General features: G+C 53.3%; 1 protein-coding gene and 1 long non-coding RNA gene across 5 annotated transcripts in view, besides 3 other annotated features; both read right to left on the bottom strand.

Annotated features, from left to right (window-relative positions):
* The window catches only part of ADAMTS2 (ADAM metallopeptidase with thrombospondin type 1 motif 2), a 234,609-nt gene that overhangs the window by 62,722 nt on the left and 147,389 nt on the right, over positions 1-24,498 (bottom strand). For all 4 annotated transcript variants that reach the window (NM_014244.5, XM_047417895.1, XM_047417896.1 and 1 more), the window contains one exon: positions 7,498-7,581. In NM_014244.5, the coding sequence (NP_055059.2) occupies positions 7,498-7,581 (84 nt within the window). The remainder of the gene's footprint in view (positions 1-7,497; positions 7,582-24,498) is intronic.
* Positions 7,654-8,381: an enhancer, noted in NCBI's record as "H3K4me1 hESC enhancer chr5:178608229-178608956 (GRCh37/hg19 assembly coordinates)". NCBI's record gives its function as "activates a minimal SCP1, AML or CMV promoter by ChIP-STARR-seq in primed H9 embryonic stem cells {active_cell/tissue: H9 hESC(primed)}" and the evidence as "EXISTENCE:reporter gene assay evidence [ECO:0000049][PMID:30033119]".
* Positions 10,761-11,361: an enhancer, noted in NCBI's record as "H3K4me1 hESC enhancer chr5:178611336-178611936 (GRCh37/hg19 assembly coordinates)". NCBI's record gives its function as "activates a minimal SCP1, AML or CMV promoter by ChIP-STARR-seq in naive H9 embryonic stem cells {active_cell/tissue: H9 hESC(naive)}" and the evidence as "EXISTENCE:reporter gene assay evidence [ECO:0000049][PMID:30033119]".
* Positions 17,058-24,040, bottom strand: LOC124900195 (uncharacterized). Its single transcript, XR_007059081.1, has 2 exons — positions 21,750-24,040; positions 17,058-20,588 (listed from the first exon to the last, which is right to left on the bottom strand). It is a non-coding gene; the product is annotated as an uncharacterized LOC124900195 (long non-coding RNA).
* Positions 18,458-19,149: an enhancer, noted in NCBI's record as "H3K4me1 hESC enhancer chr5:178619033-178619724 (GRCh37/hg19 assembly coordinates)". NCBI's record gives its function as "activates a minimal SCP1, AML or CMV promoter by ChIP-STARR-seq in primed H9 embryonic stem cells {active_cell/tissue: H9 hESC(primed)}" and the evidence as "EXISTENCE:reporter gene assay evidence [ECO:0000049][PMID:30033119]".

Below are 24,498 nucleotides of genomic sequence, written 5' to 3' on the forward strand. Positions count from 1 at the left end.
TTTGCTGTTGTTCACATGAGAGATAATGCCATGACCCTTGTCTTGTTCCTAAAACTTGGCCCACAGCTGGGATCACTGCTTTGGAACAGAGTTGTAGAAATGAATGTCTGGGGTCACAGAAATGAATGTCTGGGGGCAAACATCAAGAACATTTTAAAGGCCAAATGCGGTGGCTCGCGCCCCATAACCCCAGCACTTTGGGAGGCCGAGGCGGATCACCTGAGGTCAGGAGTTCAAGACCAGCCTGGCCAACCTGGTGAAACCCCATCTCTACTAAAAATACAAAAAATTAGCTGGGTGTGGTGGCAGGTGCCTGTAATCCCAGCTACTTGGGAGGCTGAGGCAGGAGAATCACTTGAACCCAGGTGGCAGAGGTTGCAGTGAGCTGAGGTCGCGCCACTGCACTCCAGCCTGGGCAACAGAGCAAGACTCCATCTCAAAAAAAAAAAAAAAAAGAAAGAAAAAAAGAACATTTTTAAGGGCAGTGATAAATATTGCTACATTTCCTTAGAATATCTGTACTCATACTCAAAGTGTGCCTGCTTCATTCACCCAGCCATAAATCCCTCTTCATCTTAACAGGGTTGATGCTTTATAAATGGTGTATTATTTATTTCTTTAACAGTAGAGTTAGATATTTTTCCATATGGGCTTTCTCTTAGCCACTTGGATTTTTTTCTTTGTTTCCTTCCATTGACAATTTTGTTTCCTTATGATTTAGAGGAGGTTTTATATATTAAGATATATTTATCACATTGCAAATGTTTTTCCTGCTTGTCATTTGCCTTTTCATTGTGTTTTTTGACAGAAGTTTGGTATTATACTTATCCAAATATATCCATATTCCCCTTTACAATTCCTTCAATTGGATTTATGCTTAGAAAGCTCTTGACAACCAATATTTTCTTCTTGATTTGTGTGATTTAAATAGTTGAATGTTGTATTGGCTTATATTTGTCACATGATAATTTAATTTCCTATTTATTAAATTTATGTTATATATTTATTTATAACACAATAAGCATTCTGTGTTTATCACGGTAGGTTATTTGTAAGAGGGGTATTTTCAACTATTTTATTCAACTGAACTGTCTATGAAAGTTTATGCACATATGGCACTATTTTAATTATCTTCACTTTACAAGATGTTTGGAGGAAGTCTCTTACTTGCTTGGGTCCCACAGCTGTCTCGGCCATTCTTGACCGTTCATGTTCCTTTGGAGGAAGTCTCTTCCTTGCTTGGGTTCCGCAGCTGTCTCAGCCATTCTTGACCATTCATGTTCCTTTGGAGGAAGTCTCTTCCTTGCTTGGGTTCCGCAGCTGTCTCAGCCATTCTTGACCATTCATGTTCCTTTGGAGGAAGTCTCTTCCTTGCTTGGGCTCCGCAGCTGTCTCAGCCATTCTTGACCGTTCATGTTCCTTTGGAGGAAGTCTCTTCCTTGCTTGGGTTCCGCAGCTGTCTCAGCCATTCTTGACCGTTCATGTTCCTTTGGAGGAAGTCTCTTCCTTGCTTGGGTTCCGCAGCTGTCTCAGCCATTCTTGACTGTTCATGTTCCTTTGGAGGAAGTCTCTTCCTTGCTTGGGTTCCGCAGCTGTCTCAGCCATTCTTGACCGTCCATGTTGCTTTGGAGGAAGTCTCTTCCTTGCTTGGGTTCCGCAGCTGTCTCAGCCATGCTTGACCGTTCATGTTCCTTTGGAGGATGTCTCTTCCTTGCTTGGGTTCCGCAGCTGTCTCAGCCATTCTTGACCGTTCGTGTTCCTAGATGGTGCTTAGAATCACTTCATAACATTTCCAACTATGAATCTGGGAAAGGCCAACCTCTCGATTATACCCAGCTTCCCATGAGGACAGCATTTGTGTCTTCATTTGTGATCACTTTCTTCCTATCATTAATCAGGTACAATTTCCTTCCAATGGGTCCATTGTCTTGTCAGGACTATTCCAGGTATTCTACATTTTTGGTTACTACCATAATGGAAATTTTCTCTCCCTGTTTTCCCCACTACCAAGGCTGTTGTTTTTGGTTCACACAGAAGCTACTGATTTTTTAAACAATGGTCTGATATTTGGCCACATCACCAGACTCCTCTCCTAACTCTACAAGTTGTACCGTGGATTCTTTTAGGTTTTCCCGACACATGATTAACAGCAAACAATGAGAATTTGTCTCTGCTCTTTTCCAATACTAGTTTCATGTCACATACAAGTATCTAGGATTTTCAGAACCACAGTAACTAGTTTATGGGTCTTTTTTGTTTGTTTGTTTCCAAGACTATCTCCAGGGCAGTGCTCCCCAGAGCAGGTTCAGCAGGCTGCGGATCTGCTGAGCAAGAAGCTTCCGTGGAGAAAGTTTTCAGAGACCACCTGTACTGCTCGGACTCTCGGAGGTACACCATGCACAGCTCCACAGGAAAGTCTCCGGGAAATTTCACCCCCAGGAATGCCCATTTTCCTTTGTTTGACCAGCATTTTCCAGACTTCTTTGACCTTGGGACCCCTCTATAGTCCTCTGTAACATCTACTCATATCCTAAGAATTCGCTGTGCAGAACACTTTTAGGGAAATGTGCTTCTTTTTCCGCCTTTAAATACAATCTTGGTTGTCCTGTTGCCCTCTGTTACTAGTTTTCTGGGGATCTGGAAAAGGAGGAGTGCCCTGTGAGGGGCTACGGGGCCGTCACGCCCTTGCCCTGCCAGAGGCTTCAACACTGGAGCCCTGAGGCCTCTCTCCCAGGCTCCCCCTAGGCAGCAAGCTCCTCATGCCTGCAGTTGCTTCTGCTACCCCCAGCTCCAGACCCCGCAGGGCTCCAGACCCACATCCACATCTTCTTGGCCTCCTCCGCTGGGATGGCACCAGGTACCTCTAACTGCACATCTCAGCTGACCTCTTCAGCTTCCCTCCTGTGCTCCCCAATCTCAGGGGTTGATACCATCATCTACCCAGCTGAGAGTCTCTCCGCCTTCACCCACCTAGTGCCACATCCTCTCGAAGTGGCCTCCTCTGTCCTCCTGTCTGTATCCCTGGACCCAGGCCTGGTCCCAGTCCAGCTGCCAGCATCCCCCATTTGATGGCAGTGACTGTCTCCTAAGCCACTGCTCCCACCTGCCCCTTCTGCACACAGGAGCCAGTGATCTTCTTAGAAATGCACATGGGATCGTGTCACTGCTTAAAGCTGCCCTCATGGGCAAGCCAAACCCCTTGGCGGGAGACGCAGGTCTGCTCTGCTCCTTGCGATCGGCTCCTTCCGACGTCTTTGGCATTGGGTCTGCTGTTCCTGTCCCTGTGCTCGTCCCTCTGGGTTCAGCTGCCCTCCCTCCCCTCCCAGCCTATGAACTCAGAGCATCTCTATGCTGGTGACTTCACTGGACCATCTTCAGGTGTGGGTGGAACGGTCACTTCCTCCCGTTGCTTTTCCTGACCTTGTAAGGAAAGACTGCCTGACCCGCGTCTCCTCCATCCAGCCCTGAGCCCTGGTACAATTGTTTCCTTGTCTAGATCTGCCTTCTGGAAGCGGTCCCCTGAGGACAGAGACTATGCCAGTGAATATTCCCAGCACAGCACTTCCCACACAGAAGCCCTTCAAACAGTATTTGTTAGAGGATGAGTTTTGTCATTTGGAAACTGATGTGATGAACTGTATGAATAGATTTCCTGATATTAAACAATCTCCACATTCCTAGGATAAGCCCTAGATGATCACGGTAGAAGTTTCTCTTTATACATTATTCAATTAAACTCTTAATGCCTTGGGATTTTTACTTCTATTTTTAGAAGTGAGACAGGTCTGTACTTTGTCCTGACGGGCTACCTTTGGCATCTTTGGGTATAAGGGTCCCATTGACTACGAAAGACACATTGGGTAGATTTCAGAATACATGAGTTTACAGGGTATTGTATTAGTCTTGCCTGATAAATGCTTGCAAATGAGTATGAATGCACTGGCAAAACTTTGGAAAAGGTGAAGAACTTGAGTTCCCTCCATGGTTATGGGACTTATGGCATATTCTCCATTTTTTGGAGTCAGCTTTGAAATATTCACATCCCAGGAAATCCTCAATTTCCCCAGGATCTCCGTGTCCCTGGCATAGAGATCCTCAAATTCTCACCTTCAGGGTTTGACTCTCTTCTGCAAATGTTCTGACTGTGATCACATACTCCTTCTACCTACCTGAGGCAGTTAAGGAAAAAAAAAGAAAAAGAAAAAGAAAAGGCTTAGGGTCGGGATAATTTAGCATAGAGCCTGCTAAGGAGTAATTAATAAAGGAGGCTTTATTCCATCAAGTACTCAAGACTGGGAAAGAGCAGACACTTTTCAGGCCAAATAAGATCCAAAGCTTTGCCAGCACTGGTAAGCAATTAACCCTAGTCAATTACAAAATTCTTCTTTTTAAACAATGTAGGAGCAACCTGGGGGAAAATGCAAGCCGCCACCTGGCACCCAGACCAATCAATGGGATAATCTTTTCTCCCCTTTCTAGCCCCAGGACCAGGAGTTTCCCATTTTTGGAAACTTCCAAAAGAGGATATAACTCTGTCCATCTCTCATGCCAAAGGCTTGAGAATTCCTAAAACACCAGAGGATCCTGGCCAGGAAGGGACAGGCTGGAAAGACCCGGCTTGGGGAAGGCCGGAACAGGGAACTCCACTGGAGGCAGGCAGCCAGCCACATGGGATAGTCCAAAGATCCCCCCCGCACCTCCCCGCCTGTGAATGGAGAGCTGGAACCGGATTGCTGGGCTGGGGCCCACCCCCAGGCTCTGCATCTGTGTGGTCCAAAGCCCCCTGCCACAAACCTGGGATAGAGGGCTCAGCGAGCCTCTCTCTGCCCTCCTAGCCAGCATTCACTGGCAGAGGATGCCCTGCACATCCCTCCTCCACTGATCATCCCTGGACCTCCGAAGTGGCCGGCTGCAGAGAGCCTCCCAACAGCTTCCTAGTGGGCAGATGGCCCTGCATGCTTTCCTTTCTGCCAGGAGAAGTATCTTTTTGTAGTCACATTACATATACTCTTTCTGATCTTTTAGTTTGTGCCTTCTCTCTTTTTTTCTAGATTAAATAGGTCAGAGGGTTGCTTTTTCCAAAGCTCTCTTCTTCATTGATTCTATGTGTTTCTTCCATTTTCTAATTTATTGATTTCTGCTTTTTCTGAACTATTTCCTTATTTTTGCTTTCCTTAAGTTTTTGGTTTTGTTGCTGTTGAAATTCATTCAAATGTACTGAGTTGAAGGCAGGGCTAATGTGTGTCGAACATATCACCCAAGGAAGAAGCTTTTGGAAAACATCTGTGAATTTGCCTCTGAATACAGCTTTAACCACATTCCAAAAGATTTGACAGTAGTGCTCTTGTTTTTATTAGTGTTCCAAATAGTCTGTACTGCAGTCCTAATATTCTCTTTCCTTGCTCTGTTACCCAGGCTGGAGCGCAGTGGTGTGATCTCAGCTCACTGCAACCTCTGCCTCCCGGGTTCAAGCAATTCGCCCACCTCAGCCTCCCAAATAGTTGGGACTACAGGCACATGCCACCACACCCGGCTAATTTTTGTATTTTTTTGGTAGAGACAGGGTTTCACCACGTTAGCTAGGCTGGTCTCAAACTCCTGACCTCAAGTGATCTACCCACCTTGGCCTCCCAAAGTGCTAGGATTACAGGTGTGAGCGACCATGCCTGGCCCCTAGTAGGTTTTTTTTTTTTTTAATGTTTTCAAATGAATTGGATTTTTTTAGGTTTATAAATTCTGCTGCCCCCACCCCTACTTTTAGGCATTTCATCAGCGAAGATGGACAAAATCGTTTTAGCTGTATAAAATTCACAATATTTTCTTTATGACCCAAAACACTTCTGTAATTTTTAAGTGTTCTATGATTCCTCGAAAAGAAGGTTCATCTTTCTTTTTTTCTGTAGGGCAAGGGAAACAGTGATATAACTACTAATTTAGCTTTACTCATTGTGTCATTCAAAAATTCTATGCCTTATTAGCATCTAATCTGTGAAAGGCTTTTAAAAGTGTATTAGAGACTCTCATAGTTAGGTTTTTGCCAATTTCCCCTTTGTTCCAAGGATTTGTTTTGGGATGTTTTGTGTTCTCTTGGGGTACACGAAGGCCTGCAACTGGCATCCGCCCTGTGGGTGCCTTCGGTCACTGTGGAATGAGGTGCTTGGTGGGTGTAGGGAAGTGGCCCCAAATCTACTTAGTATTCCTGGGATCCCTTCTGCCACCGGAGTCCTTCGTCATCATTTTTACATCGTGTGCCTTATAAGTTGTATGCAGTTTGATTTTATTTTTTGAGACTGAGATTCTCTTTGAACAGAGTTCAACTTTTATATAATTATCTGATGTATTTGATCCTATTATGATTTGATTTTCTATGCACAGCCAGACCACAGGCTCGAATTCTGCTGTCTGGGTAAGAAGCCTGACTCCTCGGGTGCTGGATGGCCCTGGCTGCTTACCTGGGCATGTCACTAAGTCACATTAAGCCTCGGTGTTCTTATCTGTGAAATGGGCAGAGTCACAGTGTGCACCCCTCCATCTGCCCTGTAGATTAAGGGCATTCATCCATACAAAGTGCTTCCCACACGGCTGGTACAGGCACTTTGCAGTCTACACGGGCCGTACCGTGGGGCTCCTCTCTTCCTCTGTCTGCACAGCATCCCGTGTTGCCATCCCAGGTCACTGTCCCTGGCGGCTACACACCCATGCACACCGCCAGGAAAGGACGTCCCAGGTTTGGCTGCAAGAGGAAGTGGGACGGGCAAGAGAGCCCAGCTGGGACAGCAGCCGAGGCCAGAGGAGAGGAGGCCACAGATTTAATACGGGGGCAGAAGTCCAAGGGAGGGTCGTGTTAACCACGTGTTTCTGATGCTTTGACATCCGAGCCTTGCTGACTCTGGAGGGACTGCCCCGCTAAGTGGTAACCAATCTTTAGAGACAGGAAACAACTCATCCATGAGCACATTTTTCAGATACAAACCAACCAATCCAGCGCCCATGTCCCCAGCCACCTCCTTTATCAGACTTCACACTCTGAGCCACTATCCCCCTGCCCTCATTACCCAGAAAACTAACTCAGGACCGCTCCACTCCCCAGAGCCCACTGGAATTATTCAAACTGGCCAACCTTAAGCCAGCTCACCCTGTCCCCATCGGTCCTTCCTGCAGAAACAACATGGACTCAGGCTGCTGTTTACCCAATTCCCTCTGCCTCCTGACCACCCCTGGTGCCTCCCTGTGTGGCCCCCGTGGCCTGGTATGTCTCTTCCTCTTGGGATCTGGGAGTAACAGACTCTTTTCAGTGAACAATAGTAATGGCCACATTTTAAAACAAGGGGTGAAAGGGAGCAGGGATCTTGTTTCTTATAGGAACCTCAGGGGAGCCAGGGAGAGGCAGGGTGGTTCTGGCAAACGCACACACTCTCCAAGGAGGCCCATGCCTCACTCCCAGGCCCCTCACTCCGAGGGGGTGGAGGCAGGCCCGGCTGGCCACAGTGCACTCACCTTTCCATAGCTCAGGAGGATGATCCGCACCAGGACCACGTTGATGTGGGCACCCAAGGACTCGTCATGGTAGATTTCATTGACCTGAAAGAAACAGGGAGGCATCAGCGGGAACCACAGGCCCTAGGACTGGCTCTGGCTCTGCCAATGGGATGACCCCCACCTGCTCCTTCTTCTTCCCATGCTTTCCACCCAGGCGTCACCATCAACTAGGAGCCACCTTGTGACCCCTCCCTCATTGCCCCCTGCCCTCTGCCTCTCCAGGCTGCCACCACCACCTGCTGGGATCACTGTAGCCCCTTCCTGAGCAACCCCACCCACCAGCCCAGGGTTTCCTCACCTGGGGCCTGAACATGGAACGTGGGCAGGGAAAGCAGCCCTACGCTTGCTGTAGCCTCCAGCTGAAACACAACCTTCCCTTCAACAGTGAACGTGGGTGATGGACCCCCGCGGCACAGGCAGGGCTGGGACCGGCCCTGGCAGAAGTCACTCCAAGCTATAGCTGGTGGGTGTGGGGATTACCTACCTGCATCGCTACTTGGAAATGGGGGCGGTTCTAGGCCCACCACCAGGTATAATGTTTTAACGTGTTAATAAAAAGCTCATATTACTGCATCCCCAATGTGCTCTCCCTGTTCTGTTTTGATGGCTGGAGCTCCTGCAGTCGCCGTCTCTGTATTTATCACAATCATATTCTTACACGTGTTTCATTCTTCACATTTAAAACCATTATTCTGAGCAGGTGCCAATGGGCTTCAGCAGATATCAAAGGGACCCGTGGCACAAAAACAGGGGGGTGAACTCCCCTTCTACAGAACACAGCCAGCAAGACCCTCCAGAAACATAGGTCAGGTTATCCCGGGCTCGAGGCTGTCAGGGGCTTCCTTCGCACTGAGCCCCCACCCTCCAGCTTCCCACCGCACACACCCAGGGCCCTCCCTAGCGCAGCCCCCTTCCTGTCACCTCCTTTGTTGGTTAACCAAACCCTACTCCTCCTCGAGGCCAGCTCAGCAGTCACTTCCCCCTGGAAGGCCCCCCGCAGGCCTGAGCCGCCCCTCATCAAGCACAAGGTGTGTTATTTCTGGAGCCCTCTGTGTGCCCCTGTGGGCTGGGCAGCCACCTGCATCCTCCCTGCTTGCATGCCCAGAGCCAGGCTAAGCAGCACCTGGCAGGCACTCAGGGATACCCGCTGAAAGGCTGAAGCCATTGGCACCATCAAGAAGTGGAGAAACAGGGACTGGCTGTGTGCAGACCGAGCCCAGGGGCTGCTGACAGCTCCGGACATGGCCAAGACATACTTCCCGGAGCCTGCTGCCACGTCAGGCCAGCACACACTCCCTGCACTCCAATCTGTAGAGCCTGCATCTGAGCAACAGTGATTGCTACCTCAAAACAGTGGGAAGGCACCTCAGGAAACCCGAGGGTTCACAAGGAGAATGACATCATGATGGATGGGTGGACAGGCATACAGGGCGTGCAAGACAAGGATCCCGAGGCCCGCTGGCATCGGTGCTGGGAACAAAGATGGCACCGATCGTGGGGCAGAGTTCATGACATGTGGACCCTGCTGAGGGTACCATCCAGCCCAAACGCAGCTCCTCTTGGCAACTGCTGCCCAGCAAATCTACATCTGATTGTAAATGGGCTCCCCACAACTCCCACCTCTCTTTCCTATAGGCAAGGGACAACTCATCAGACCCACGGGAGCGTGGCTGGTCACCGTGGCTCCGGGCTGTAGGCGTCTGGGGAGGGTGGGTCAGCAACCCCTGTAGGCGCTGAGGGTTATCCTCTAGACCCCCAGTGACCCATCTCGCCCCTGTGGCTGACAAGATGGAGCTCCGAGGAGGGCACCCAGGTCCCCAGGAAGCCTTGCCATTTGGTCATCGCCCTCCGTTTCCTCTGTAAAATGAGGATTGCAGTCCCCCCATCACAAAGCTGTTGTGGGGATGAAACCGTCATGCAGGTGCAATGGAATGGTGCTTGTGCAAACAATGAAACGGTTTTTCATTGCTGGTAAACCATAGTGCCCTGCAGCTCCCTGTGAGGTCCTGGGGGTAGGGTATGCACCCCTAAACCACAGAAGTCCTTGCCCAGCTTTGAGGGTCAGACTAGATTGTTTAGTCCACGCTGGCACAGTAGCCTTAAAAGCCAGTTTTTCTTAAGAGAGAAGGGGTTTCTGTAATTGTCCACAGTATTGCTTTCTCTATCACGACAAAGCTTGGCCAGCTTGGCTCATGGAGTCTGACCGAGGGAAGGTCCCACTGCAGCTGAAGGGAGCAGAATAGGAGAGAGGAGAAAGGCCAGGGATGAGGGGCCAGGCTTCTCCTCATCCTCAACCCCAACCTCACAGGTCATACAGAACAGTCCTGACATCTGAGAAGGAAGGAAATGCAAAAGAGCTTGATCCTGGCTGCTGCCTGGGACCTGAGAGGGGACAGGTTCCTAGCAGTAGGAGTGGCTTCCAGGGCCCAACTGGTGGCCCAGCCTGCTCAGGCCTGAGAGGGTGGCCCAGCTCCCAGCTGTGTGTAGCAGATGCCAGGGTCCCCTGCACCCCAGAGACACATGGGCAAGATAGTTGGGGACTGGCTTGCAGGTTTACCTGGCTCTAGGGGGCACCACCAGGCTTCAGGGCAAGCCCAGGGGGGCACTGGCCTACAGGAGAGGAGGGCAGGCCTGCTTGCAAGGCTACTGCAGAGGGGACTCATCCCTACTGCCCCCCACCAGGCCTCTGCCTGCAAATGGGGCTTTTGGGAGGTAATTAGGGGTAGATGAGTTCATGGGGGTGGGACCCTCATGATAGGGTTAGTGTCCTATAGGAACAGACACCAGAGAGCCTGCATCCTCTCTCTCTGCCGTGGGAGGACCCAGCAAGAAGGCGGCTGTCTGCAAACCAGGAAGAGAATCCTCACTGGGGAATGACCCAGCTGGCAACATGATCTTGAAATTCCCAGTCTTCAGAACTGTGGGAAATGAATTCCTGTGATTTAAACCCCTGGGTCTATGGCATTTTGTTATACCAGCCCAAGCGGAATGAGACAAAGGCTTTATGGGGAAGAGACTGAGCCACCTCCCACAGGCCAGACTGCAGCCTTCCTTCTATCCTGGGGCTGAGTGCCCGAGATGAGGGCAGCACCAGATATAGGAACGAAAGAAAGCCCTGGCCAGGCGCAGTGGCTCACGCCTGCAATCCCAGCACTTTGGGAGGCCAAGGCGGTGGATCACCTGAAGTCAGAAGTTCAAGACCAGCCTGGCCAACACGGTGAAACCCTCTCTCTACTAAAAATACAAAATTAGCCAGGCATGGTGGCGAGCGCTTGTAATCCCAGCTGCTCAGGAGGCTGAGGCAGGAGAATCACTTGAACCCAGGAGGCGGAGGTTGCAGTGAGCCGAGATCGCGTCATTGCACTCCAGCCTGGGAGACAGAGCAAGACTCTGTCTAAAAAAAAAAAAAAAAAAAAAAGAATGAAAGAAAGTTGCATTTTTCCCCACGTTTGAGCCTAAGCGTGTAAATGTTGACCTCACCGTCCACACAGACCCTCAGCACAGCCACGGGCCCCTCACAGGCTCTCAATGGGACTTCTCAAACTAAACTGACCCTGGCCTCTTGTGCAGCCCACCACACCCTGGGACCCAGAATGGCCTGGGCGAGCCTGACCTGGTCTCTCCTTCCCCACTGGGCTGAGGCTGGCACCCAGCAGACCCAGCAGAACCACTGCCTCACCATGAATTGTGGCTCTGAGTAGATCAGAGCCAGCCCTCCTGCCAGGAGGCGGAGAGGGACACTCAGATGCTACGAGACCAGCTCCAGGATCACCGGCCTCGAGGGAAAGGCAGGGAACCAGAGGATATATTAGTGGGAATCTGCCCACTGGGGCCTGGAAGGACGTGGCATGTCATGAGACCTGAGAAACAGAACAGGGTAGCTCAGCAAAGCAGGGATGGCGCTCCTGGCAGAGGAGGCAGCCCATGCAAACCTCCCAGGGTTGGAAGCAGCGAGGCACCTTCCAAGCACAGAGGGGATGTGGAAGGGATGCCCCAGCAGAGGAGGTGGGAGGGGAGCACTGAGGCCAGACCACGAAGTCAGGAGAAGGATTCCAAATCCTCTCTAAGAGCAGTGGGAGGACATGGAGGAAGGATGATGGCGGGGCATTTAAGAAGCTTACTCCAGGTGCCTTACGGAAAGTAGATGGAAGGGGTCAAGATGTGGGAATGTGGGGTTCAGCTTTGGGGATGAGTGCAGAGAAGGGACGGATGTGAGGGATGATGTGGATTGGAATAGGGGTCATCTGCCCCGCCTGAGCAGGGAGAGGCTGGGGCTCTGGAAGGGCATTCCGGCAGCTCCCACAGGGCGGAGGGAGGAGATGCGGGGCTGGCCCTCTCCTGGCTCCTGGCCAGGCCCTGCCCCTCAGGACGCAAGATCTTCCCACTCTCCTAGCCCTACCCCTGGGGCCGAAGGTGGCAGCTCTCATCTCAAGAAGGAATCTTGTGTCCTTCTGAACATTGAGCAGATCTAATCCTGCTCCCTGATTTGGGACAGGAGGTGACCAACCACTCCAAAAGCCCCGTCGCTGGGCATGGAACTCCCTGGGATAGACCGTCAGCCTCACATTCTGCTTGGAGGTGGGGTCGAGGCAGCTGAGCCCTGGGGTGTCAGGCTGCTAGGCGTGGGCCCCTGGCTGGGGAGCTCCACTGTGGGCTGTCCGCCAGCAGCCAGCTCCCACCTCCTGCGCTGGGTGCCCTGACCCTGGCCTCTGGAAGCCTCAGATGGTTCGGAGATTAACTGGGGCTCCCTGGCTGCTGAGGAGCTAGAGAGGGCATGCCTGCAAATGCTCCCAGCAGGTAGCCAGGGAGAAGGAGGCCAGGCCGCAGCCAAGGCCCCCTCAGCCCTCCCTCCCTGGTAGCCTTCAACTGTGGTGCGCTCTCCCTGATCCTCTCCCCAGGAAACCTCTGTCCCTTCCTCCCTTCCACACCAGCACAGCACATAGTTCCCCAGGCATGCCCACTCTCTGGGAGGCAGGCCTGAGCAAGGCCGTGGTGGGGCTTGCGATGGCCTCCTGGCTCCTCTGGGTGGCTGCTGGGCCTGGGATCCTGCTCCGGAGCCCTCAACTTGGCCCCCTCCCAGGCCAGGTCTCAGCAGCCCCTCCCAGCAGTCAGGAACCCCATGGGGCACTGTGGCCCAGAGACCACTGACCACTGGCCTGGGTGGTTCTCCTGCCCCTGCGTGTGCTATGGCAAAGTCCAACCCACAGTCCGGGGCCGGGCTCCTTCTGCTGTCCAGCCTCTCAGTCCCCGTAGGTTAATATGATACATCAGGAACAGACATGGGGGGCAGGCAGGGTTTGTGGGGCATGTGAGAGGCAGGGGTGCTCCACAGTGTCCTTGTCCTCCGTGGGCCTGAGGAGTGAGCCCCGTCCTGCCCCCTCTACCATCCCAGGGCTCTACCTGCTTTTCAGGAGGCTGCAAAATTGCCAAAATTTCCTGCCCAGCCCTGGCCAGAGGCCTGCAGGGCCCACCTGGGCATGGGAACCACTGGGAGTAATCAGTGTAATTCCCGACAAAACACTGGCGTCCTCAGTAAGGACACAGCGGCAACATTTCTGCAGAGCAGAGAGTCGACTGATGTGGCAAAAAGAGCAACTGAAGACAGAAGGCGACCTCCACATGCCTGCCTCCTGCACATCCCCCTCCTCCCCCGGCCCCACCCACTTTCTCTGCCAGACAGGAGACAGGCGGTAGGGCTCCCCAACGGTCCCCCTCGTGTCCTCCCCACCCCCCCACCCACACACACCATTCTTCACTACGATCACCAAGCGGAATAGATCTCACCTTCCCCTTCCACTGTCTAAAACCCTCAACGGCTCTCCAGTGCCTTCGGAAGCAGGGCCCAGCCCCTCGCCTGGCATTCGGAGCCCTCTCCACGCTGGCCCTGGCTGGCTTCTCCATGCGTCACTTCAGATACCTCCCCACATGGCACCCTTGCTCCTGACAGCCCAGCCAGCCTTCCCCAGAGCCGGCTGCCCTCTCCTGCTGCCTGTGCTTTGGTTCAGGCCTGGAATCCTCACTCTCCCTGTGCAGCCCCTCAATTCTTTAGATATCTCAGGAGCATTTGAAAAAAAAGACTCATCCTAAAAAATATATCTCAAAGGAAAGAGGCAGTGACCTCCTTGCTTAAACCCTTCCTACCCCAAGGCATGAGACCGCAGTTCCTGGCGTGACCTCCAGGCCAGGAGGGTCTGGCCCTGCTGAGTCTTCTCGGGCTGCCCTGGCCCTGCTCCCTGTGCTCCAGCGGCTAGCCCGGCTGCTCCTTGCACAGGCAGCCTGTCTCCACCTCAGGAACTTTGGACTTGCCGTGCAACTGCTCCCAGCAGTGTCTAGCCCATAGTAGGTGCTCAGTAAACATTTGCTGAATGAATGGAGTGAATCACTTTGAAGATATGGAATAACAGGAAATGGGCAAAATGTATGACCCAGCGTAGGCCTGTGACCCCTCTCATGGGGAGGCCCCCAGCTAAGGGCCTCCCCTCCCCTCCCCCCAGCAGCCCTGGGGGCCTCCTCCGCATCCACCCTACCCAAGGCCTGCGTGTGCTGGGGAGAAGCAGCTCTCCTTTCCCAGGTTGCAGGGGGAGGGGAAGCCCAGGGACAATGTCCTTGAGTACTGTCTGAGAAATTGATCCTGGAATCTTTAAACCTTGGGGGGAAATGTTCAAAGCCGCAGCCATCTCTGTGCGGAGAGAGGCCAAGGGCTCTCTTGTTTGGGGAAACACATTGTAATGCGCCTTTTGCTTATGCAAAGATGCAGCCAAGTTTCTGTTCTGGAATAGACAATGAGGAAGGAGCGGCTCTGCATGGCAATGTAAAGTTTGCCTCACTGGTGGCAGAGTTCCACCCAGGGGATGGTGAGCCCTGGGAGGTGGCCTGCGGCTGCTGGGCAGAGGTGACTTTGTCCTCTGCCAAGGTGGGGGAGGGGTGCAGAAAGGGGGGAACCGGTGCAGGCTCCCTACTGGGGAGGCCTACTGGCCTGCCAGCCACAGAGGAGACAGGCAGGGGCCCTGGAACAGCAGCCACCCCAACCTTCAGGAAAGTTCCCATGTCCTTCGCTCAGCTGAGCTTTGGGCCACCAGAGGCAGCCTGTGGCCCACCTGGCAAAACCATGTCCAGGAGCAAGCCAGGCCTGAAAAGTCTGTCAGAGGCCTGGGGGAGGGGGGCCTGCTGCTCTGTGGCTTCTCTGGGACCCCCTGAAATAAGTGAGGAGAAGGCTGTTCTCTCTGTGCCCCTTCGGAGGCCAGGCTTGGACCACCAGGATGGAGGCAGAGAAGAGAGTGCAGCCAGGAGCAGGGGACAGAGGTCTGCTGGCCTCCGTGGAGGAAGAGTTTAGGCATTGCATGGTGCCTAAACGGGGCTGCCAGAGCCTGGGCTTATCATGAGAATCAACGTTCCCATTGCAGATCTTCTTCACCCTCGGCTCCTCAGCAGATGCTTCAGAGGGAATGCTAGAAGAAACGTGACTCTTGCTCAAAATATCAAACTACCATGAAACGGAAATGGCCAGGATCAGAATTACTAGGCTCAGTTCATACATCAAAAAGTGAGGTGGTCAGAGTCCCCTCCTTCAATACCCAGCGCAGGAACACTCTGCCCAAGGCCACCCCCTCACTCCTCAGGCGACGTCTCCTGTGCCTGTCCACACTCTGCTGATACCTCTGCAGATGCCTCAGGGTGGGGACGGGGCTCCTCCACTTCCAGGCCAGCTCATCAATGCACAGAGCCCAGCAGGGTCTCAAGAGATGTGCTGCACCCCTCAGTGTGGCACTCCAGCAGGCACGTTGAGAAGACAGGTCGCATTACAAACCTTCCCGGGTTTGTACTAACGACGGCAAGAGGCTGCCCCTCCCCCTCTCCTGAATTTGGGGGGTTAGCAGAGTGTGGGGGGGATATTCCCACTCTGAGGTCAGATTTCATGGGTGCCAGCATGGGCTCTGCCACAATCCTGCTGCGTGACTTGGGGCCAGTTACTTAACCTGTCTGGGCCTCAGTTTCTTTATCTATAAAATGGAGATAATAATAGTCCCTGTGTCTCAGGGTTGTTTCAGGTTGAAGCAACAATGAAAATTATCACGTGCGTCCATGTGAAGAGATCACCAAACAGGCTTTGTGTGAGCAATAAAGCTTTTTAATCACCTGGGTGCAGGTGGGCTGAGTCCAAAAAGAGAGTCAGCAAAGGGTGGTGGGACTACCATTCGTTGGTATAGGTTTGGGATAGACGGTGGAGTTAGGAGCAATTTTTTTTTTTTTTTGAGACGGAGTCTCTCTCTGTTGCCCAGGTTGGAGTGCAGTGGCATGATCTCAGCTCACTGCCAGCTCCACCTCCCAGGTTCATGCCATTCTCTTGCCTCAGCCTCCCGAGTAGCTGGGGCTACAGGCGCCCGCCAGTGCGCCTGGTTTTTTTTTTTTTTTTTTTTTTTTTTTTAGTAGAGGCAGGGTTTCACAATGTTAGCCAGGATGGTCTTGATCTCCTGACTTCATGATCTGCCCGCCTCGGCCTCCCAAAGTGCTGGGATTACAGGCGTGAGCCACCGCGCCCGGCCAGGAGCAATTTTTTGTGGGCTGGGGACGGATTTTACAAAGTACATTCTCAAGGGCGGAAGAATATTACAAAATATCTTCTTAAGGTAGGGGGGGACAATATTACAAAGTATCTTCTTAAGGATGGGGGTGGGGAAGAATATTACTAAGTATCTTCTTAAGTTGGGGGGAGAGAATATTACAAAGTATCTTCTCAAGGGTGGGGAGGGTGTATCATACAAAGTAGATTCACAAGGGCGGGTCCGGCGGGGGCGGGTGGCAATATCACAAAGTACATTACCCCAAGGGCGGAGAGGGTGTATTGTTCACAAATTCAATTGATTGATCAGCTAGGGTGGGGCAGGAACAGATCACAATGGTGGAATGCCATCAGTTAAGGCAGGAACTATCTATTTTCACTTCTTTTGTGGATCTTCAGTTGTTTCAGGCCATCTGGATGTATATGTGCAGGTCACAGGGGATATGATGGCTTAGCTTGGGCTCAGAGGCCTGACATTCCTGTCTTCTTATATTAATAAGAAAAACAAAATGAAATAGTGGTGAAGTGTTGGGGTGGTGAAAATTTTTGGGGGTGATATGGAGAGATAATGGGTGATGCTTCTCAGGGCTGCTTCGAGCAGGATTAGGGGCAGCATGGAAACCTAGAGTGGGAGAGATTAAGCTGAAGGAAGATTTTGGGGTAACAGGTGATATTATGGGGTTGTTAGAAGGAGCATTTGTCGTATAGAATGATTGGTGATGGCCTGGATGCAGTTTGGTATGAATTGAGAAACTAAACGGAAGACACAGCGTCCGAATAAAAGGAGAAAAACAGGTATTAAAGGACTAAGAATTGGGAGGACCCAGGACATCCAATTAGAGAGTGCCCAAGGGGGTTCAGCATAATTATTTGCTTGGTTGGCGAGTTTTTGGGCTCTATCCTTGAGTTTATGTTGTCATACACCAGGCCAGACTGATTTAGGTAAAAACAACACCTAGGTGATTCAAAAGCTTTATTGCTCACACAAAGCCTGGTGGTGGTCTCTTCACACGGACATGCGTGACAAAAGTGAAATCCCCAGCACCTAGTACAGGCTGAATGAAACTGTCATCAAATTACAGGAGGGTCCAACAGCCCAAGCTGTTTCCCTGGGACCCCATGCACAGAATGGTCCACCTGGGCTTCGCCCTTACACCCACCCTGGCTCTCCTCCTGGCCATCACCATCGGGAGAGGTCTGAGTGAACAGCTTGCACATGCCCCTGTGTTTTCCAGAGCTGGAGGGGCTGCTGTGCCCAGGCACGTCCGCGAGTGTGACCCAGCCCTGGAGCTCTCCCCGCTGGCTGCGTCGCCTTTGGGGAAACAACAGCCATGCCACCACTTAGGGACTGACCTTCCCACCCGCTGACCGGATGCCTCATCAGAAAGGGAAATGCTGCAGAACGGGGAAGGACCAGTGCTGCTGAGGCTGCAGGACGCAGAAGGACACGGCCGAGGCCTCAGGCCAGAGCCCAGTGTCCCCCAGGGGCCTCTCGGCCACTGCGAGCCACTGACAGGGAAAGGCCGAGAAAAGTCAGGGATTCTGATTCTTGCTAGCAGTGGCTGCAGGACGGCCCTGCCTCCCTGGAACTCTGCTGAGCTTGTCGGCTGTCCCTGGCCACAGAGCCCTGGGGGGCTCAGTGAGGAGTTTCCTTTCAAAGAGGGGCCCTAAGTGGCCAGGGCTCGTGCCACCCCCGGCCCTGGCATCCCCCCACACGCCCGTCTCAGAGGCTGTGTGGCCCGGCCCATCCCGTGACTGAGCTCGGTCACCTGGGTCCGTTTGAGCACCACCATGTAATTTGAGAACAATGCATTTTTATTCCCCCACACATCATATTCTGCCGCTGCTCTGTCACCAGTGTGACCTAAGGAAAGAGGGAAGGAAAATGCCGCTATGGGAGGAGAGAGCTGTGGCATCAGGGGACAGGAACGGTGTGGGGGAGGGGGCAGCAAGCAGCTGCCGGGGTGGGGGGCGGGCTGCTGAGCCCACACCAGGCTTGGAGCCGGAGCCCTATCCCTACCGCTGCCCCCGCCTTAGGGTGAGATGCAGATAGTCCCCGGGGTTCTGGGCTCCACTTCCCACTGAGATGAGACCCTCTGCTGAGGGTGGAGGCCAACCCACATGGTGGCCAAGCAGGTGGTTAGAATGGAGAGGGATCTCATGTTAATGAATGGGCCTCAGGCAGCACATGGATGCCCCTCGCTCCAGAAGGGGGTGTGTGGGATGCAGCAGCTCCTGCTGGCGAGGGCCAGGGCGTGGGTAGCTGGCACTGGCTGGCAGAGGCTGTAGAGTGGACACCCATCAAGGCATAGGGCTTGGACTGGGCAGGGGTCCAGCATGCCTAAGTGGCCCAGGCGTCAGACCCGACCACCTCAGAGCAAAGCTGAGGAGGACTCAGGCCAGCCTCCCTACTCCCCAGGCATCCATGCATGATGAGGAAGAAGGGAGAGGCCCTGGCAGAGCAGGTATGAACCCCTCAGAGACTGAGAAGGCATGACAGAGGGCTGCAGGCCATCACCTTGCACTGTGCCCCTCGACCTGGGCAGGGGCCCCCAAGGCACTCAGAGCGCAGGGCAAGAGTAAGGTGAAGGCTGCAAGAAGGGTCCTGCATTACAAGCTCACGGCAAGGGTCGTCTGCTGCCAGCGTATCCCTCCCTGAAAGCGCAGTCATGCAGGGTGCTTTCCAACACCCAGAGCAGATGTTCCAGCGCCTCTTGGGCTTGGCGGGAAACGGCTTTGCCCTTCTGTGCAGCAGGTCACAATCCCCCTGCACCACCAGAGTCTGTTTATGTGGCTTAGCTCCCTTGCCAGACTCTGGCAGATGGAAAGATAGATGAAATCCTGCCCACCGCTACACAGGAAACCCAGAACCAAAGGAAGAGGGGCCGAATTATTGGAAGCACAAGGGTCCGTGATCACTTCTGCTCAGGATCAGAAGGGCCAGCATGGGCAGCCCCCAGGCCAGGCTCCCTGCCAGGCGCGGGTGGGAGGTCTTGCAGGCTGCAGCCAGGTTTCCTTCCTCCTGTCTGGCTGCAGGGAAGTTTCCCTTGCTCTGAAGTTTCCTCACTCTGTGAACATTCCCACGGGGCACCCTATGCTGCCTCGGGTGCTGTCCCATCCTGGTAACTTCCTGGCACCATCGTGATCTCCAGTCGCCTTCGTTTGTTAGCTGTCTGTCCGTCTCCACTAGGCAGGGACTGTTCTGCATTCTTGCTGATGCAACCTGGGTGCTCAGTACTCCCGTGTTTCCCCAGGCTTCAGGACCAAGGCCAAGCTCAGCCGCACGCGCCTTCTCCCACCCCAGCGGGCTCCCAGGGTGGCCGAGGGCTGGCACCTCTTTTGCACAAGGGGCTCCTCTGTGTGGAATGATGCCCTCCCACTTTCCACTTGGGAGACACCAACTCTGTGACCAAAACCAGCTCAAGGATCACCCCACTGTGACTATCTCCACTACCAGGTGGAGACAGCTGACCGTCTCCTTTGGCTGCCAAGGCCCTGTCCTCGCTGTGCCAAGGCAAGCAGGTGGCCCCCATGAGAAAAAAGCTTGTCCAGGACGGGAGCTGGCTGGGGCTCTTCCCAGACATCATGGGCCGAGTGAACAACTGCTCGCCTCGCTGGTCGGCTCTGATCTTCTCCGCCTACGCCGAGTACTTCCCCGCGTGCGATATCTTTCCCTTCCCACACCCTGCGAGTGAGTGTTATCCCCGCTGTGCCAGTGAGGAAGCCGAGGCACAGAGAGATTGAGAGGCTCACATAAGTGGGCATGGGAGTCAGTACAGAGGCTCTGAGGAGCAATTTGGCAAACCTGCTGCAACTAGAAACTGTATCCCGGGACCTGGCCATTCAGACGTCAGCATGGACGATGGAGACACAGCCTCTGTCATAGAAGCGAAGGCATAAGGACACCCAGCCACGAGGAGTTCCACACCCACAGATAGAGTTCATTTTTATGGGAGTCTCTGAGATCACAGTCGCTTTATGGGAATTCATTTAGTCACTTATTCATTCAAAAGAGATTTACTGAGCACCTACTACGTGCCAGGCCTTTTCCAGGTACTCAGTGAAAAATCAGGTGGGCAGACCCTCTCTGGGTCCGATACAAAGTCACCTTTGTGGGAGTCCCTAACCCTGCTGAGACACACCACCAAGGAGACCCCTGGACTGGGGAGGAAGACCCAGGATTGCTTGACTGCAACTCAGCTCCAGGGGCAGCCTGGGAGGGGCCTCAGGGAGTGAGAGCCCACGCCAGGTCAGCCCGACAGCCCGGCGTGGCACATCATCGCCTCTGTTCTTGTGGTTCAGCTGTCACCTCCTTGCTGGAGCCTGCACAAGACAAGCTCCGAGGCTGCCTCAAGCTGTCATCCGGGTGTGTGGATGGCTGGCCCTCCTCGTCCACAGGGACTCTAACTCCCATTCTGACAACCATCAGTTCCCCGCGGGAGGCCAAGGACAGGATGCTGGGAGGCTTCCACATCAGCTATCAGGAGGTCTGCGGAGGAGGGAGGAGGGAGGAGGTGGGGAGATGTCCACTGGTGGGGAGGGTGCTGCACATTTCAGGAGGAAGCAGAGGTGAGATCCACCCACAAGACCCCTGTTCGAGTGTTCCCCACCTGCTCACCATCACTGGTCTGTCGGCCTCCCCAGCCCTGCTGGAACATGTGCTCCCTGCGGTCTGGATCCCGTGCTCACCACGACATCCCCAGCACCTAGGGCTGCTCTATCCGGGTGCACTAAGGGAGTGAGTGGGCAGGCGGGTGGGCCTCAGAACAGGAGGACACAGTAGATCTATGCAGAAGCCAAGGCAAAGCAAGAGGCAGAGCGGATGGCCTGCGGGGAGAGGCGGGTGTGGCCAGGGGACTCCAAATGCTGTGGGGAGGTCAGTGAGGCCTGAGATGAGAACCCGCGGAGCATGCTAGGGGATTTGGGAGCTCTCGATCTTCAGGCCAGACAGTAGGGGAGGACCAGCACAGGGGCCACCTTCCCACAGGTATGTGACTCCATCTGCCGTGCTCTGGCCATGTCTCTCTCAGTCTCAGTGACCTGATGCAGGCAAGGGAACCTCACAGGGCCACTGGGGCAAGGTAGTGAGGTCACAGGTGTGCCTCCTTGCACAGGGCCAGCACGTGCAAAACCAGCAAATGTGAGTTCCCCTCCTCAGGTGGGGAGGGGTGTTTCCAAGGATAGAAAGCATAAGCCCCAAACCTCCTAAGAGAGAGGAGTCTATCTTTGTAGACCACAAATCAACCTCGCTCCCGCTCTCCAAGCCCCACAAGCTCCAGCAGGGCCCAATCTGCGCACTGCGATTCACGATGCGGCCAGGCCTTTGCGCGCGCTGTGCCACCACCAGGAGTCCTCATTAGAGGCAACTGCGGTGGCCCTTGTCCGAGGAGCCTTCCCTGACCAGCCGCCCCAGGCACCCTTCCCTGATGAACCAAGGTGTAATCACGTGTCCTGATCCCGCTCCCCATACTCCTGTGCTCTGAGCTCCCCCAGTGCAGGGATGCGGAGGCCAGGAGTCCAGGGAGTGCCGAACATGACTGAGGACAGCTCCCAATCCCAGCATGCTCCTCCCACACCCGTGCTCTACTGAGCACTTTCCTGGTGTTCAACTCGAGTGGTGCTCCCAACAGCCCCGGGAGTTGGCACTGACCAGCACAGGGCGCAGCAGGACAGGCAGTCGCCTCCTTCCTTCTAGGCTGGAAAGAACACTCAGGCCACCCACACACCAGACTTGTCCTGCAGCCGTGTTCTGCTTCACCTGTGCAGTGTGGCTTCTTAATTTCAATCTGTGGCCCACATTGAAAAATAATTAGATTTCCCAAAAAAAGTAGATTTCCAGCTTCTCATGGAAGAGCGAGCTGGCAGCAGTGGTCTGCTTATTCCTACAGAAACACAAGCGAGTGGAACCACGAGGAGCTCTGCAGGGGGGCGTGGCCTCTCCGGTCGCCCGAGTCCCCACCACTCCCAACAGCCTTCAGCCACCTGGGCCCCTCGGGCCTGGCTACTGTGAGCACGTGAGGGCACTGCCCTCTTCTGAGCCTTGCGTGCAGCCTCGCACACACCACTGGCCCTCATGGCTGTGTCTCCTGGTGGCACACAGGGCCAGGCTGTAAGGCCAGCGGGACAAGCGTGAGGAACAGAAACAGTGCCAGCAACACCCCCAGGGCCACAGCACCACTAGCAGACCCTGAACCCCGCTTGCCTCCCCCCACTTAAGGGACCCGTGTTTCGTGTCCAGTTTCAGAGATGTTCTTCTCTTTCCCAGGAACCAGAGCCAGCGACTCGTGAACTATGACTTGGGGCGACGCCTTCCGCCTGGCTGGTTTGCATCTCTGCGGCCAGTTTACGAGATTTCCACCACGACCAGCTGAAAACACTCCTGTCCGACCACTGCCTTCCCCACCGCCACCATGCGGTCTCAGCACTCGTGAAAGTTGGTGAGAAATTGAGCCCATATGCCTTCGGATTGTTTGCAAACCCTGGCAAGGCTCTGGTAAGTCCAGGCCAATTTCTGGATTAAATTAGAAATGAAAAGAGGAAAAATATCTGAATCCTGGCATAGAGAGAAATCATTCATTCAAAAAAAACGGTCGTAGAACATACTGTACAGAGAATGTTCTCGTGCTGGGAGGGGTCAAAGGTTATAGCCGCGACTGAAGGCGCAGAAGATCCTTGGATTCCACGTTCTCCATAGGCCTAGGAGCGTGTCTGCCCTCAGCAGAAGAGATGCTTTGGGGGCTCAGGCATTCTCCCAGAACATAAGCAGTTAACACAGCTGGGAGAGACTATTCTGCATGCCCGGAAACCTGCTCCTCCTGCTCTGCCGTTCTACAGCGGTTAAGAGCAGTTCATTCTATCCTTTAAAAAGAATCCCCGAAGTAGCCTCACCGGTCCTTTGAGCTGATAAGGCTAGTGTGGGGGTGGGCTGGGGTCTGAGCAGCCCACTGTGCTCAGTACTTCCCTAATACGTACACCCACGTGCACTGATGTAGTGAAAGGCACATGCTCACTTTGGAGGCCTGGGGCCATCACAGCTCAAGGCAGGCACTAAGCAAGTACATTTCTGCACAGCCTGGTAGCAAAAATTCCTTTAGCACCTCATAGTGAATGTTCTCAGCTTTGTGGGCCATATGGTTTCTGTTGCAACTACCCAACCCACTGTTGTAGCACAAAAATGGCCACAGGCAATTCATAAATCAATAGGCGTGGCTGTGTTCCAATAAAACTTTATTTACAAAAACAGGTGAAGGGCCAGGTGGCCCTGGGGCCAGAGTTTGCCAACACAGCTTTAGAATCTCCAGTTTACCTTGACAAATTCACGTGAATTTTGCTTTCATGCAAGTAATACGTCCAAATTTACTTTAATGTAAAACTGATGTTTTAAAATGCTTACCATCCAAAAAAGGGGCCACTTCAGGGGGAGATGCCTTACATCTGTCTGGTGGCCTCTGGCAGGCCTGAGAGTACGTGTTCCTGGTAGCAATAGGTTGAGCGCTGGCCTTGCTGCAGGCTGGGTATCACCCACTGCAATGGTCTGCCTCCTGTCTACAAGGAGTGCGGTGGGACCAGGGGCTCACAAAGACAGTTCAAGGTCTTTGTAGATCCTGATATTTAAGCAACACATTGAGGCCTTAGGCTTCTCGGGAAGAGTAGGATTGAAATTAGCGCTTTAGTGAAATGCTTGAAGCCACAAAGGAAGCTTCAGCCTTGGGCCCAAGCTTTATATTTCTTGAAGTCTTGGCACAGATAGATTTTACTTTTAAAAATGTATCTGTAGCCAGGCGTGGTGGCTCGTGCCTGTGATCCCAGCTACTCAGGAAGCTGAGACAGCAGGATCACTTAAGCCCAGGTGATTGAGTCCACCATGCAGCATAGCATGAACCTGTCTCTAAAACAAATCTTTAAAAAATGAGTCAGGCATGGTGGTGTGTGCCTGTAGTCCCAGCTGCTTGGGAGGCTGAAGTTTGAGGCTGCAGTGAGCTATGATTGCAGCACTACGCTCCAGCCTGGGTGACTGAGTGAGACCCTGTCTCAAAAAAGAAAAAAATGCATATATAAACATATTACTTCCACAACGGCTCTGATCTTCCAAGGCATTCATCCCTGCCTCCCATTTACCTGAGCCTGCAGAAGAGTCCCTGTCTGTACCTGGGGACGAAACTTGAGGTGCCACACACATCTGAGCTGCCTCCTAGCATGGCAGCCTCGCCTGTCAGGCCCAAGCCCACTCTTTAGGGGTGCCCAGGCCCACACACATGGCCACAGCATCTGGTTTGTGAGCAGAGACTAGCCCAGGCGCTGGCAGAGCAAGTTTTTGAAAATGTGAGAAATACCAAAGCCCCAGGGTCAGTATCAGGCATGTTCAGCAATGTCACCTGTGTCCCAGCCTGGCAGCACCC

The sequence above is a fragment of the Homo sapiens genome, chromosome 5 (assembly GCF_000001405.40).
Source record: "Homo sapiens chromosome 5, GRCh38.p14 Primary Assembly".
In the NCBI taxonomy this organism is placed as follows: domain Eukaryota; kingdom Metazoa; phylum Chordata; class Mammalia; order Primates; family Hominidae; genus Homo; species Homo sapiens.